Source organism: Homo sapiens, chromosome 2 (genome assembly GCF_000001405.40).
Source record: "Homo sapiens chromosome 2, GRCh38.p14 Primary Assembly".
Taxonomy (NCBI): domain Eukaryota; kingdom Metazoa; phylum Chordata; class Mammalia; order Primates; family Hominidae; genus Homo; species Homo sapiens.
In genome coordinates, this window is record NC_000002.12 from 166,065,044 (window position 1) to 166,081,701 (window position 16,658).

A 16,658-nucleotide genomic window follows, 5' to 3' on the forward strand; every position below is an offset into this window, starting at 1 on the left:
TACACATATATTTCTAGACCCACAGGTCTATCAAACTGTTAATGAAGTACAATTCTGAATGAATGGCACTGAGAAACTTTATCACTATGTGTAAGAAAGTGTTACTCTGAAAATGGCAGAGTTCTGTCCTTGAAATAGCCTGGAAGTCAGACCAGGAAAATTATCTGGCTCTAGCTCCTACCCAGAAGTGCTATTAAGTTTTTCATAGCTCTAAGCTGCTGGCTTGGAAAGAGGTTCCAGCATGAAGGGGGAGAATTAGAGCCATGTTGCAAGAGGAGAGATGCTTCAAAGTTTTGGGTGTGAAGAGCAGCATAGATGGTCAGGAGATTCCATTAGTATAATACATATCTCTGGGGACATTTCTTATGCTGGGTCAATTCCATGGTATATAATATTTTTTCCCCAAGGACTTTAAATGGTCTCACCTACTTCCCTTCTCATTTGTCATAGCCTGTGAGTTCAAGCCAAGCTTTTCTTCCTTTTCTGGCTCACTGGGGGATGAAAAGTTTTCTTGCAGGCTTTCTACCTGACTCTGAAGAGAGTATGCCATATTTAATATTTTTTCATCTCCTAGTCTCATTCAATTTTTTCCTTCCAACCAGTGATAACCAGACTAAACAACAATCTGTGTCACTTGCCTACCCGTGGGCCACCAAGCTTTAATATATAGCCTTCACTTAATGACAGATGTGGTCCTTAAGCCACAGATTACAAACTAAAATGCCCACAGAGGCTAAGTGACAATAGGTACCTGCCAGTTTTAGGCATATAAGTCAGTGATGCCTGAACTCATATTTCAAGAGGAATCCTTAGATGTATAATTTTATGAGTGTGTGAAAGATTTTCTGATTTATAAATGCCAGAAAATAATTCAAAATTATAAATAATTTTGTTAGTTTAACAAAACATGTCTGTGGACTCCATGCCTCACAGTCAGTTTTTAAACATTGTTGCCATATGCTCACACAAAAGAGAAGAATTTGTACCTAGAGAAGAGTCTGTAAAATTGCTTGTTCCTATGCTTTAGCTGGGTGGAGGGTTGGGGCCAGTGGAGGAGATAACTCTGCAGAAGGTGCCTCCCTAGAAAGTGCCTAGGTAGGCTTTTGTCAGCCAAGGCTGCAGAGCCCTCAACCTCTTCTCCAGCAGAGAGAAGAAATTATAACAACAAGGAAAAAGAATAAAATCTGGAGCTGAAACATTTTTCAGCCCTATATCATCAGAATGTACATACCATGGGTCTGCTACACTATTATATGGTCAGTTAATTTTTCTTTGACTGGAAAGAACACTTTTGAGCCCAGCTTGATTACAAGCTTGCTGTGTGAGAACTATGAGCAAACTATTCCCCTCAATTTCTCCATCTCAATGGAGAAGATTATACTAATACCAATCTTAGGATTATTTTGAGGATAAAGTGAAATAAAACATGTCAATGCCCTTAGTGAATTCTAAAGTGTCAATAAAAATATAAGGATTAAAATATTTAAAATGCGTCTCTGTATTCTAACTCTTAAATATACACATATAAGAACATTTCTGTTTCTCCAAAGCATGGCCAATTTTAGTATTGGAATTTTCAGGTTCAGTATCTTTCTTCTCAAACTTCCTATCTAAGAAAATGAGGCCATCAGCTTCCTTCTGTCTGACACCTAAACACCTCCAAAACCAATTCTGACTCTATCCATTATTCTCCATCTCCATTGTCAAAATGCTAGATCAAGTATAAAACTCCTAAATTTCTCCATAGAGAAGTTGAGTGATTTTTAACAATGTAAAGTGGACCATGTTACTGCTGTACCTAAATACTTGTTGGGAATTCATTTTGCTTTGAAGATAACCTTCAAACTCTTTAAGATGTACTGAAAGATCCCCTTTATCTAGCCCCAGGTCTACCTCCCCAACCTCACCTTATTCTCTTCTTACCTATTACAGGTCAGCTTGATTATATGTCTTATTCTATGCTGTTCTCTTTCCTTGGAAGATTCTCCTCTCCCTCCTCCTTTTTAACCTTCAGATCCCAATTTAAATGCCATTTCCTTATAGAGGCACACAATTTAAATTTCCTGAATTGATCCTCTTTGAAAATAGGTGCTTATCACCCTACTGGAATTTAGTGGGAAAAAAAATTTCTAATTATTTTAGAAGCTAATCTAGATCACTGAGTGTCTAAGATTTTAGTTTTTCCTTTGTCACCTCCCTGTCTCTGTCTCAGAAACAGTCCCAAGATGGTGATGTTGATAAAAATGAATAATAATAATAAATAAATAAGGTTTTACAAAGGCAGGAAATGGCCAAGTGTTGAAATGACCAGTAAGGGTTCGGGAAATACTGCCGGCCTGGGAGACCAGAATCACATCTTGCAAAATGGCATGAGTAGGAAACAGGAAGGACAGCTATAGGCTTATTTAGATTCCATCACTGACTTCTCTTTTTTTTTTTTCCACTGCTGTGATTAGTGCTATGACTGCAAATCCAAACTAACATGGCAATGGGCCATGGAAACTCACTGGTCTAGTTTTAAAACTAGTCTTAGGCAAGTTATTTAAACTCAGTTTTATTATTTTTAAATAAAGACAAGAGCTATCTTGAAAGAATCTGTGGATTAAAAAAGAACAGTAATTATACTGATATTATATATAGCATGTAGAGTACATAGCTTTTTTTTTTTTTTTTGCCTGCTTAGGACACCTTTTCTAACAGTTCCTCTTCTCTTCCTTTTGGAGTAAATCTCTGCCCCACTGTCTTCCCATGTGGCTTGGTGGAGCTGACCCACCCCTTGGCAACACAGGTTAGTATATGACAGAGACCATCCCATACCAAGGAGACCATCACATACCACTAGCCAAAGTGAGTGGTTCAGAGGAGGCCATGTGACCTAATTAGACTCAATTCTAGGACAACTGCTAGAGCTTTTGAAGGAAACCTGGGCCTTTTTTCTTTCTTCTTTCTTGTTTTAGCAGAAGATAGTAGTTACAAGGCTGTAGGATGTTAGTTTAGCACCACTGGTGGCTATTTCTGCCATCTTGTGGAAGAGCCAGCCTGCAAATGAAGCCAGCATGGGTGACAGCAGAGCTGACCATGGAAAAGGAGTACCCTCATGACATTGTTTGAGGTACTGGGTATTTTGATATTAAAACCAGATTCACTAGACACATTTCCTTTATTTTTCCCCAAAAGTTGTTTCTGTTGGGTTTTGGAAACTTTCAGTTGAAGGATCTCCTATAGATATGGCAGATACTCTAAAAATGCCAAGCATCATTTTATTGATCAACATCACCATCTTGGGACTGTTTCTGAGACAGAGACAGGGAGGTGACAAAGGAAAAAGAAGCACAAGGAAGAAATAGTGCATAGGGAAGAGAAAGATTGGGAAGTCAACTACAGGGTCCTGGATGTAAGGGAGAGTCTGGGTGACTTTTAGTTTTACAGGAGCTGATGATAAGCAAAGAACAGCTACACACTGGGGACTGCCCATATGACAATTCGTGAAATTATAAGCTTTTAATAATCATCCTCTTTTCTGATTTCCCGTTAATTACTTTTGCAAGAAAAACTCCATAATTCCAATTAAAAACAAAACAAACTCTCTCCACCCAATTTAACAACTAAAAACTCCTTTGGCAGTGATAGACCAAACATGAATTTGAAATCACAAATTCATATATGACTTCTCATGGAGCCCAAGAAAAAGGGAGTGTGCATCTTTTCAGGACAGTTGATAGCAAGAGAGAATAAGTTACTTTTAAATGATCCATAGGACTTTTTAAAAATGAATGCATTTCTGCACTCCATAATTAACAAACATCCATTTTTACTACAGATCTAAAATGTCTCATTCTATTTCCAGTAAACTGTCACATTGTTAAAATGATATTTTCTTCCATGGTAATAATGATTCGTCTGTAATTTTAACAAGAACATGAGAAGGAAGACATTTTCTGTAATAAAGAGTGGGTAAAGAATTTGAATGTAGGGCCAAATGGTACAAAATCAGCCCAAGCTATGAAAGGAAACTGTGAAAAAAAGTCCCGTGAGGGAAAAAAAGGTGTGTTCACAAGCTAAAATGTGCCTTGCTACACAGCTAAAGTAAATAAACAAACAAAGGGAAACCAATCTGGAATCATGTTCTAAAGACCACTGAGTCAGAGCTAACATGATATGAAAAATACTGTCACCATATTATGATAGCATTTTTTTCCCCTGAGTTTTTAACCTGGAACTCTGAAGGCTTAAAACATCTGAGGATCTAAAAACCTTCTAATGCTTCTATGCATCAGGAATGTTCATGATGCATAGATGCTACTATTTCTTTAGTTACTACTACAATATTACTGAACATGGATTAAACTGCTTTAACAATTTTAGTAGAATATTTGAACATTACATAATTTGCACATCTTAAACTGGGACAAAGAGGATAAAAATATGTGGGCATATGCCATTGGAAAATATACTCTCAGCAGTGACATTTTAATAAGCTCACTGACACTGCCTTTGTAAAAGATTACAGAGAGCTTCAGTGTGGTGGTTGTGTTTTTTCTATTCACATAAATTCCTTGCATGTACACTACTGCACTTTAACATAAAATATAACATAAGGAATGGATTCTGCAAATATTTTTACAATTGGCTTGTTTTGTCTATTCCATATAGTTGAGAAAGAAACCAGAGTCTTTGTATACTGATGCAAATGACACATTAACTATTGTACTAGAGTCCAACTTTAGGGAAATCACTAGTCTAACTGCATATTCCATTTCACTCAGGCAAATCTAATCCACACCCCCAGTATCAGCATTAGTGGAAAATCTCGTCCTAATAAACATTTTCCCTGGTGACATTTCCACTGTTTGACCATTTAGCTGTGTCAAGAGTACTGTGTATGTGTACCGCATTGTTTTAATGAAGATCACCCAGCCAATCTCAGATAACCCAGTCACTAAAGTAAAATTAGTCATCGAATATTGAAAGAAATATTCATTATTTTTAAAAGGTTCAGATTTTGCTAAGCATTCCAACTTTAGTCAGAGCAAATTAATTCCATTTAAGGATATTTTTCAATACTGAAATAATCCAATTAGAAAAGAAAATTAAAGGCAGAAAAAAGTGTACAGGCAACTTATAAAAGTCTTAAGACATAAAAATGCAGAAGAAGGAAATTTCAAACACATAACTCAATCATGTGTTCTAAGCACACCATGTTAGTTTTTAAGGATTTCAGCCCTGCAAAAAGCTTCGTGTGCATTGCTGTTGAATGACTTACATTTGAAGATTTGCTTGCTGTCAGTTCAATGTAAAAGCCATGAGTATACCTTACCTTGGGGAAAACTCTTTCCTGATAACAATATTTCCCTTATCAGGTTGTTCTACTTGCACACTGTGATTTGCTCCAAAATGCCAAAATGCTTTTCTTTCCTCATACCATGTGCATTTGAAGATAAGAACAGAAGATGTTAAGAGCAAGTTTAGACGTGAGCCTAACAAAGTTTATAAGGGTTTCCTCGACACAAGAATCTGGCTGTCACTTCATCAGAGTTGGCCTTTCACCCTCAGTTTTAAGATGTTTCTTTTGAGTATTTTGAAAATGTTTGCACAATTTTGTTTTACATCTGTCTTTATATCCTTTGCTATATATAATTCATTATAAACCAATTATGGACCATTTTGTTTAGGGACATCCCCTCGAGACAATCACTTTTATCAGTCTGAAAGCTCTTTAATTAAAGAAAAAAAAGATTGATTGGTTGTTCTGGTTTCCAGATGAAGAATGTCTACCTTTGTCAACATGCATTAGTTTGGTCTTTCTCAAAACATTCATTTATTATTTTACAAATAAGGACCCAGCATAGGAGCAGAGATACTAAATTTCTTCCCTGTTTGATTAAGGGATAGATGCTGGGTGGCTTTAATAATTTTTAGATGGTGATTGCTACCAAAGAGGTGAGGACCCGGTGTCTGGGGGTAGCAAAAGGCCTGTTGAGGATGGAGCCCACTAACATATCCCAAGAGCAGCCTCTGAATAAACTAAAAGTATCCAATGGCTATAAATACAGTAGCATACTCTATACTGTGAATGAATTTCTGCCTGGAACACATCAGTCTTCACTTCAATACCGAAGTCATTTTAAACGAATTAAAATGTTTAGGCAATTGGATTATCTGCATTTTTACTTTTCTTATACAAATAAAGTCCTTGTAGTTTGTTTAGTTTGGGCTTTGGCTTTTCAGATACATTAATTTCCAAAGAGTTGATTAAATAATAAAGTGCAACTTTTCTCATAACTTAAATGGCAGTTATGAGATTAATAATCTCTTATCAACTAAGATTTGACAATATGGTGTTCAAAAGCAAAGTTAGAGGAAAATGAAATACATGGAAAATGATCCATCCCTTCCTCTACTGTAAAATGAATAGATCAGTTTTTAAAAAGGGGAAATATGTAGTGATTCCTAAAGTAAATCCTAGTACCACTGTCAACTGATAATTTTAAATGTAATTTAGATTTGTAGATGGTGTAACATTAAAGTTGTATAATGTTTAAAAAAAAAAAAAAAGGAAAATACTGGCCGGGCGCAGTGGCTCACGCCTGTAATCCTAGCACTTTGGGAGGCCGAGGCCGGTGGATCACGAGGTCAGGAGATCGAGTCCATCCTGGCTAACATGGTGAAACCCCGTCTCTACTAAAATTACAGAAAATTAGCCGGGCGTGGTGGCAGGCGCCTGTAGTCCCAGCTACTGGGGAGACTGAGGCAGGAGAATGGCGTGAACCCGAGAGGTGGGGCTTGCAGTGAGCCGAGATGGCACCACTGCACTCCAGTCTGGGCCACAGAGCGAGACTGCGTCTCAAAAAGAAAAAAAAAAAAGGGAAAATATGTTATACTTAAACTGACTATATCCTGAAAAGTTAAAAAAAAATCTGAACCTAAGGCTAGTCAACCTTTTGTGACGCTCTTTCCTCCGAAACTGTAGCTGTCAATCGGAAGTGATTTATAAAACTGCCTCAAATTCACATATTACAAATGCCAAACTTTTGCATGCATTTGGCAAGGACTAACTTCACACAGAACTGGGCCAGAAACAGAGTCCCTAAAAGTTTAGGGGGTATTTTAAGGTCCAGGTCCAACAAAAAAATTTACTTAATTACAATCTTTGTGCCCTACCTTTCCACTAAGATTCACAAATGCATTGTGTCAAGTGATAAAGAAGAAAATGTTACGAATCACCTAACGTCATACATTTAATTTAAAATCAATGCAATAATCTTAAAAAAAATTTTATGCTTTTTGTTTTGGTTTGGTGAAATGACAGTCATAATGAACGGTTGGATGCTTAACATAAGATTCATTTCAAGCATGGATATGAAAAAAGCACGCATTCAAATATTGTTTATAGGTTCTTCAGGTTATGACATTTTTGTTAATTCTTGCCAATATTAGTACATTAATACCAAAATATTAAATAACTTGTAAAATTCTAGTTTATGTAAAAATGTTATTTTACAGGTAACAAAATTTCTTCAGGAAATTAATTGATTTGTTGTTTATAACATGACATTGAAATTGCAAACCCTTGTGGCATCAAATTTGTTTGCATGAAAAATTAGTACTAATATTTTGTATAGTCTTTATAACTCATGATTTTGAGATTTCCAAGTATTTCCAAGTACAGAAAGTACAAAAAAATTGTATAGTAAATCGAATCTGTGGAGAGAATCTGTCAATTTGTTAAATTAGCTGCCTCTTTCTTTCCTTCCTTCCTTCCTTCCTTCCTTCCCTCCCACCCTCTCTTCTTTCTTTTTTTTTTTTTTTTTTTTGACACAGTCTTGCTCTGTCTCCAGGCTGGAGTGTAGTGGCGTCATCTCGGCTCACTGCAACCTCGGCCTCCAGGGTTCAACAAGGGATTCCCCTGCCTCAGCCTCCTGAGTGACTGGGACTACATGCGTGTGCCACCACGCCCAGCAAATTTTTTGTATTTTAGCAGAGAAGGGGTTTCACCATGTTGGCCAGGATGGTCTCAATCTCTTAACCTCGTGATCTGCCTGCCTCGGCCCCTCAAAGTGCTGGGATTACAGGCTTGAGCCACCGCACCTGGCCTCTTTTTATTTGTCATGGTGCATTTGGGACAGTTGCATATGTTATGATATAATCAATTCATTTCTCATGTATATGCATAAACCACCCACAAATGTGTTTCATTTCTTAAACAGAAGGATACTTAAGATTTTGTGCTAATTTGGCATGTGTTGGTGCTACAACAGTCCAAGGAATGCAGTAGGCAATTAGCAGCAAAATATGCCTGATAAAAAACACTCACTTTCTTATTGATATAGTAGGGGTCCAGGTCCTCCAGGGGCTCTGACACCATCTCTGGAGGAATGTCTCCATAAATAAATGGAAGGTTCTTTCCAGCTTCCAAGTCACTATTTGGCTTTGGGCCATTTTCGTCGTCATCTTTTTTGTCTGGTTTGGGATTCTTTGCCTTTTCTTCTGCAATGCGTCTTTCAATAGCCGCAAGAGATTCTCTGGTGAAGAAGTTGAAGCTGTCAGGTCCTGGTGGTACAAGCACTGTTTGCTCCATCTTGTCATCCTGCACATTTTAATTACCATTTATTCTGCATATGAAATTCCTAAAATAAAAGGAATACAGATATTTTAAAGAGTGGACTAAGAGATGTTAATATAAATAAATTCTTGTCATGAAACATGAGCTAGAGGATTTAAAGTCTGTTTTCTCCTTAAATTGAAAGGTGATTTCTAAAGAAAAAATTTTAACACAAATGGTTTCTGTGTTGAGTTTAGTTAAGCATCACTTATTTATTAATTCTTGTGCTTTACTGATACAGGAACTGTGCCATGAGTTTTAAAAGTGGTTCAAATATGGCCTTAATCAAAGTACATTAGGCTAATTAACACTATATCACTAATGAGTTATTCAGTCTGTGACACACCCAGAAGATGGAGACTGTGCGTATAAAGGCAAAGGATAGCTCATTTAACAAGGATGAGGGGAAAAGGAATTGTCTCTGAGAGGACATAAAATCTAACCCTCTAGGTCTGACAAGTGATTCCTGGCCAAGATAGTCAGGATAGTTTGCAGTGACCAACCTTAATGACCAATCAAATAGTTATTGCTGTCTTGACTGGGCTTTAACCTCTTCTAAGATTTGAGACAACTGGAACTATGTCCTGCTCACTTCACTAGCCATGCATGGTTGGCTTACTTGAACACATAAAGATAAAGACAGTCCACGGTTGGACAAATGTCATTTATGTGAGTAAGAAGGAGAGGAAAACTAGGCTGTAAAGAAATTGCTAGATGGAGGTGGGGGTGGAAGAAGATAGCTGTAGGTGCAGGAGACAGCAGGAGTCTCCTGTTTCAAGAAAAATGATCAGAAAGAAGTCAGGGTGCCATAAACTCAATAGAAACTAAGTGTTTTTCTTCACTGAAGCAATAATGAAATTCTTGCTGATTCTATAGTCCTATAGTGCTAACCATATTATGAAGGCCTGAGGCAAAACCGTCAACCCCATACAGCAGAGTCAGACCTGATCTGATGCCAGACGCCAAATCCCAAATGTATTGTTTTAAGGCATATTTAATATGAGCTCAGATTTCACAGATATTACTGAGCCAAAATATTCCAGAGCCTAAGCTGCCACTTGGCCATGAATTTTATTTGGAGACTGCATTAACTCATTAAGGTCAGCAAGCTATGGTACAGTTAATTATAGCTTTGGTGTATATGAACTACAATAAGAAAATTGCAGGCATAATTATTTTGTGAGGGACAGAGACCTCAAATTTCAAGGAGGTTCTCATTGTTGTGAGGTTTATAACCATATTTTTCAGAGTGGATGATCAAAAGAAGGGAGGACTCAAGTTTAAATTTGTACCCTTAGTCTACTAAGTGAAGTTTTCAGCGGTTCTTAGAACTTAACCTGCAGTTATTTAGTACCTGCAAGAATAGGTTGTCTGTAAATCAATGAAAACTGAATGTTCTGTCTACAAACTCTGGTTCCCCTACAAGGCATCAGGAAAATACTAACATTTATTTTTTGCAAATAAAAGTTTAGGGATAACAAATATAGTAACTTTTCTCAAAAGGGAAATAAAATATTCTGATGTATATATATAGTTTTTATTTTTAAATAGCTTTTTGATAGAAAATATATGTAAATGATATAAATGCAAATATCTAAAAGAAAATGCAGTATAATATCTCCTTTTTACCTTGTTTCCCCAGGCCCAGTTCCCCTTCCTAGAGGCAACTACTACTACTTATCTCCCATATATATTTCCAGGTATTCAATAGGTATATGCTAGAACATGAGTGTATGTATACATATTCTATTTTAAAATACATATTCAAATGGAATCTTATTATACAAACTGTTTTACACCAGCATTTTTTACTTAAAATGTATATTAGAGTTCATTTATCTTAATTTTTATAGATTTGACTCGTACCTATTACTGGCTACATGGGTTTCCATTGCATGTTATGTGCCATAATTTATTTAACCAATTCCCTGAATGTGAGTATTTGGGTTGTTTCCAATCTTTAGCTAATATTGAATAAAGTTGCAAGTAATACATTTTTACACACATACTTTCAAATATATGTGGATATATTTATAAAATTAATTTTTAAAGGTAGACTTGGCTTTGTACAGAATGTTTATTTATGATAGTTACTGCAAAACTACTTTCTATGGAGTTTGTATGAACTTATTCTCCTGACAGCAATGTAACAGAGTGCCTATTTATCCTCACCAATATAATATGTTATCATATTTTTGATATTTCCAATCTGACAGGGACAAAGATGAGAGCATATTATAATTTTAATTTGCATTTGTCTTACTATGAGAAAAGTGGAATATATTTTTCTTATACTTAAGAATTATTTTTTATTTTCTTTCCTGCAACTGCTTATTTAAAAACAGCCCATTTTTTCCTTCTATTTTTTTCAATCTATAGCATCTTTTAAGACAAAATATTAGCCACTTGATTTTTTGATGTGTGGTCTTTTAAAAATGTATATTTTTTGACTTTATGGTGCTTTGTGCTACAGATTTTAAAAGATTTAATTAAAAATGTTAAAATTGTTAGGTGATTATCTAATTCTTCTTTGGCTTCTGGATACTGTATAATGCTTAGAAAGGCATCCAGAGAGATGGGCAGTAAGGGGTAGGAAAAAGGATATAAAATATATACATACACACACATGCATCTGTATCACCTTTCCCTCTTGTATTTTTAGTATTTTGGTGGTTTAATGTTATAAGTTTAAATATTTTATCTATTTGGAATTTATTTTCTATATGGAGTGAGGTAGAGATCAAAGAACAACTAAATAAATGCAGAGACAGTCCATGTCTTTGAATAGGAGTGTTCAATATATCAAAGACACTAGTTCTTCCCAACTTGAACTAAAGGTTTAATTTAATTTCTGTCAAAATCCCAGCAGTTATTTGTGGATATTGATAAACTGATTTTGAAGTTTATTTGGAAAGGCAAAAAACCCAAAAGAGCCAACACAATGTTGAAGAAGAACAAAGTTGGAGGACTGACACTAACCCAACTTTAAGACTTACTGTAAAGCTGCAGTAATCAATACAGTGTGGTACTGACAAAAGAATAGATAAGTGGATCAATGGAATAGGATAGTGAGTGTGGAAGAAGGCCCACATAATTACAGCCAACTGATCTGTAATAAAGAAGCAAGGTAATAAAATGAAGAAAAGATAGTCTTTTCAACATGTATTGCTGGAATAACTAGACATCCAAATGCAAAAAAAAAAAATGAACCTAGACCTTATGCCTTTCACAAAAAATAATTCAAAATGGATCACAAATCTAAATGTAAAATGCAGAACTAAAAAACTACTAGAAGATAATATTGGAGAAAACCTAGTTGACTAAATTTGTTGATAACTTTTTAGTTCTCTGTTTTTCTTGGAACTGTCTCATCTTCATATTTGAGTTCTGGAATATTTCTGGTGATATTCTCAGTGCTATATATTTGTTTTTGGTTTTCTAGGAGTGATGGTGAGGAGGAATTGTGCCAGCTTGCTTCTTCACTGCCATTTTGGAACCAGAACTCAGGTGATGACTTTTTAGATATAACACCAAAGGCACGATCCATGAAAAAAAAGAATTGACAATCTGATATCATTAAAATGAAAAATTTTGCTCTGTGAAAGATACTATCAAGAGAATAGGAAGGCAAGCCACATACTAAGAAAAATATTTGCAAAAGACATGTCTGATAAAGGACTGTTACCCCAAACATGCAAAAAATTATTAAAGCTCAACAATAAGAAAATGAACAATCTGAATAAAAAATGGGCCAAAGACCTGAACAGACACTTCACCAAAGAAGACACACAGATGGCAAATAAGCATATGAGAAGAAGATGCCCCACATCCATCATATGTCATTAGTGAAATGCAAATTAAAACAATAAGATAGCACTACACCCTCATTAGAATGGTCGAAGTCCAGAACACTAACAACATTAAATGCTGATGAGGATATGGAGCAATAGAAGCTCACATTCATTGCTGGTGGGCAAGCAAAATGGTACAGCAACTTGGAAGACAGTTTAGCAGTTTCTTAAAAACCAAACATACTCTTACCATATGATCCAGCAATTGCATACCTTAGGATTTAACCAAAGGAGTTGAAAACTTATGTCCACACAAAATCCTGCACACGGATGTATACAGCAGCCTTATTCATAATTGCCCAAACCTGGAAGCAACCAAGATGTCCTTCAGTAGGTGAATGGATAAATAACCTGTGGTACATCCAGACAATGGAATATTACTCAGCATTAAAGGAAATGAGCTATCAAGCCATGAAAAGACATGGAGAAACTTTAAATACATATTACTAATTGAAAGAAGCAATCTAAAATGGACATACAGTATGATTCCAACTATATGACATTATGGAAAAGACAAAACTACAGAGACAATAAAAAGATCAGTGATTGCCAGGGCAGTGAAAATACTTTGCATGACACTGTAATAGTGGACACATGTCATTATACATTTGTGCAAACCCATAGAATGTACAATACCAAGATTGAATTATAATGTAAACTATGGACTTTGGGTGATTATGATATATCAAATTGGGTTCATCAGTTGTAACTATATACAATACCTAAACACTGTCTCTAAAATAGCTCTTGAATCAAAGAGGACTTTGATTCTAATACATATAATATAGCACATATGTTAAAATATACCTATATACAATACAGGTATATTTGAACTGCGTTTAATTTGTTAATTTAGGGAAAAAATTAATTTTTTTCCTAAATTAATTTTCTTCCATTGTATTTTTTCTCTTCTAAATAGATTATTTTTACAGTAATACATATGTGCTACTCTGGTGCGAGATATTGATAGTTGGGGGAGGCTCTGCGTGTGTAGAGAAAGGGGAAACTCTATATTTTTGGCTTAATTTTGCTGTGAATCTAAAACTACTGTAAAACTAGTCTATTTCAAAGAGAAAAAGTACAATGGAAGAAATGTTTCTAAATACAATGTAAGCATTTTTTAAAAGCTTTGAATAAACCAAAAGTAAATATAAATGGATGGAAAGTTATATCCTATTATTAGATAGGAATGCTATATCATAAAGATATTAATTTTCCCTAAATTAATAAATTAAATGCAGCCTTTGAAAAATAATCACAAAATTCATATAACTAGAGAAATCTATTTGAGACTTCATGTGGAAAAATAAGCAAACAAGAATAACCAGAAAATTCTTAAAATGAATTTTGGTTTCAAAGTCCTCACTGATGCAAGAACTATTTAAAAGAAAGTGTTTAAATTTTTCAAATGATAGATTTTCCTTCTAAGTTTTAAATTTATGTTTAGTTTTATTACCCTATGCTCTGATAATGTAGTTCGTACCATTTCTGTTTCTTGGAATTTATTGTGATTTATTTTTATCCTAATAGAGGTTGTTTTTAAAATGACTTTTCTAAGAACATTAAAAAGAAACTTATTCTTTATTTTAAAGCAGTAGAGTTCATTATGCCTCAATTATATTGATCTTATTTCTTATCTTATGTAGACCTTCTATGTCTGTACATATTTTTTTTCTACTTGACTGTTCCAAGTTGGGAGAGGCAAATTAATGTCTATTTAATGTGTTTTTATTTATTGTGGTTTCTGTCATTTTTGTTCTATGAATTCCAATGCGGTATTGTTTGATGTGTAGATAACACTTATGATCAGATCTTTGGAGTGAATTGAACCCTGTACTTCCTTAAATGGCCCTTGTTTATCTTACTGTAGTTTCTTCCCTTTAAAGACAACTTTGTCTCATAGCATATAATGACTTTAATTTCTACTTATTTGCACTTATCTAGTATGTCTTTTTCCATCAATTCGGTTTCATCCTTTTCATTTTACTGTTTTAGCACTTTCCTTAATATGTATATGTTTAGATATCATATATAGGTATATTTTAACATATGTGATCATTACGACAATCACCGTCTTTCAGAGTGCCACACTTGATGTTATTGTCCATGAAGTTGTGTGAATGGACAGAAACAGTTACTAAAAGCCTTCCTATTCTCCAGAAATACTGCATTTGAGAAAAGCTCTCTAAAGAAAATCTCCCTGGTCACTAGCTATCATTTACTGGAGAAATAAACAACCAAGAAAGTAGAAGACATGAATTCTACACTGACAAATATGATCAGTTCAAACGTATTATATATAATTATAAATTAGTTAGATACAGGAATTATATTCATATGTAAGCAATATAACCCATATTATAATGAAATCATACTGATACTAGAAAAAGTATTTTTTTAACTCTAAGTAGATCTTCTATTCAAATGCTACCTAAAAATAAATTATGTTATATTAATTATAAGAATAAAACTCATTAAAAATCTCATAAGGTTAATTATGAAATACCTAAAAAACTGTCAGATGTCATTCAATATTAATATTTTTTAGTAATATGAAAAATTGTTCTAAATTACATTTGAAATCTGTACTTATTCTATTAAAATACAGAAATAAATCATGAATTTTCCATTTACACTTACAAAGGAGATTTCACCTCTTTATTCTAAAAATTTATAACAGAAGACTTAATTGTCCTAATTTATGAAAATACATGTCACTAGATACGGGGTAGTAACCTCATAGAATCTGCAGTTTTGGCTTACAGCTTTCTCTTTTCATAAAAACCAGCATTTAAATATTTGGTTACATAGAGGAGACCTTGCTCCTTTCAAAAGAGGTAAGACAATGAAACTTTCCTAACAAGAGAAGACTTCAAAGAGAGAGGCCTTTTCAAGATGATTATGGTTATGCATTTGGACAAAATAAAATTAAGAAGAGAACTAAGAAACCATAGCTAGGAAGAAAAAGTAACAAAGTGCATGTTAGCAAACTTCAAATCTGAAGGAATTTTAAAAAATATTGGAAATAAGTAGAGTAGTGGGCAATAGAAAACTGGAAGAAGAATGATTCTTTGGAAGACAAGAAAAATACATTAAAAGTGGAATTCAATTAGATAAGCAATCCTAAAGAAGACAGGAAAAAAATAATCCAAAAGAACATGAAATGGAAGTGAGAGATCATGGGGGAAAAAAAAGATTGTAAGAAAATGAAGTGGAAATTTTGAGTGGAAAGAAATAGTAAAGTAATAGCAATAACATGACCAATATCAAATAACGTGGACAAAAGAATTATAAGGAAAAATTTGTTAGAATATACAAATAATAAATAAAGATATAATATCATCTGGTAATATCTAACTGAAAGAAAAAGAGGGAGGTAAATCTGTAGCATTATAATTAACAGATTACCTTCTCGGGAGACTTTACAAGATCAGAAAGTTAATACTGATAATATTCAGTGTCATTTCTAAGACTTTACTAATTCATTACTTATCATAAATGTTCTAGTACTAGATGAGGTTTTTGCTTCTGGGCATTATATATCTCTGTTTCCCGTAGAAGAGGACACATGTATTACGTTCTGGACTTGAGGAGGCATTTATCACAGCCAAAAGATGTTTATACTTGAGGTGACTGGGAGTGGTAAACCATATGGCTTTGGTGACCCTCAAAGTGCAGATGGAGGAGCTTTATTTAAAGTAATCCTAACCCATGAAGCCTTACAGTTAAACTCCCTTGGGCATCTGCTTTTCTCCAGTCAAACAAATATGTACGATAGCTCACAATGAAGTATTTCATTTTCCCTGTGGCATTTCACACAGAAGTCTTAACTGTAAAGGCAACCTTATAAATGCTTTGTACCCGAAGAAACTGGCCTTTTATAAGTAAATCATTATGTAGTTTCTTCCTTTGGAGGGCAGCTCTGTGTGACTGCTTGGGCCTCTGTGGTTAGATCTGTTTGGTTAACGGGCTTTTGGGCTTTCACACAAAGCTATACTCTCCACAAACTTCTGTGAGATAAAAAGGTGATATCTGTCTTAGTCCTCTGAATATTTTTTCTTTGTTCAGAACCTGAGAAAGATGAATGAAATTTAGTGTTTCCCATCCCCGAGAGACACCCAGCATCCACAACTTCACACTCTGATGCCATTGTGTATTTATGCAAGAAATACCATAACTAAGGTAATGTCTTGAGATTTTTTGGT

The 16,658-nt window shown here is 34.6% G+C and overlaps 1 protein-coding gene and 1 long non-coding RNA gene across 19 annotated transcripts in view; one reads left to right on the top strand and one right to left on the bottom strand.

The window, feature by feature from the left end:
* Positions 1-16,658, bottom strand: part of SCN1A (sodium voltage-gated channel alpha subunit 1) — a 164,521-nt gene that overhangs the window by 80,403 nt on the left and 67,460 nt on the right. For 12 of the 18 annotated variants that reach the window (NM_001353958.2, NM_001353950.2, NM_001202435.3 and 9 more), the window contains 2 exons: positions 12,667-12,758; positions 8,315-8,627 (listed from right to left, as the gene is read on the bottom strand). In NM_001353958.2, coding sequence (NP_001340887.1) covers positions 8,315-8,578 — 264 coding nt within the window. In that variant the 5' untranslated portion in view covers positions 8,579-8,627; positions 12,667-12,758. The remainder of the gene's footprint in view (positions 1-8,314; positions 8,628-12,666; positions 12,759-16,658) is intronic. The other 6 variants (NR_148667.2, NM_001353949.2, NM_001353955.2 and 3 more) reach the window with 1 other exon arrangement.
* SCN1A-AS1 (SCN1A and SCN9A antisense RNA 1) overlaps positions 16,488-16,658 on the top strand; it is a 220,254-nt gene continuing 220,083 nt past the window's right edge. Inside the window, exon 1 of the long non-coding RNA NR_110260.1 lies at positions 16,488-16,635. This is a non-coding gene — a long non-coding RNA (SCN1A and SCN9A antisense RNA 1). The remainder of the gene's footprint in view (positions 16,636-16,658) is intronic.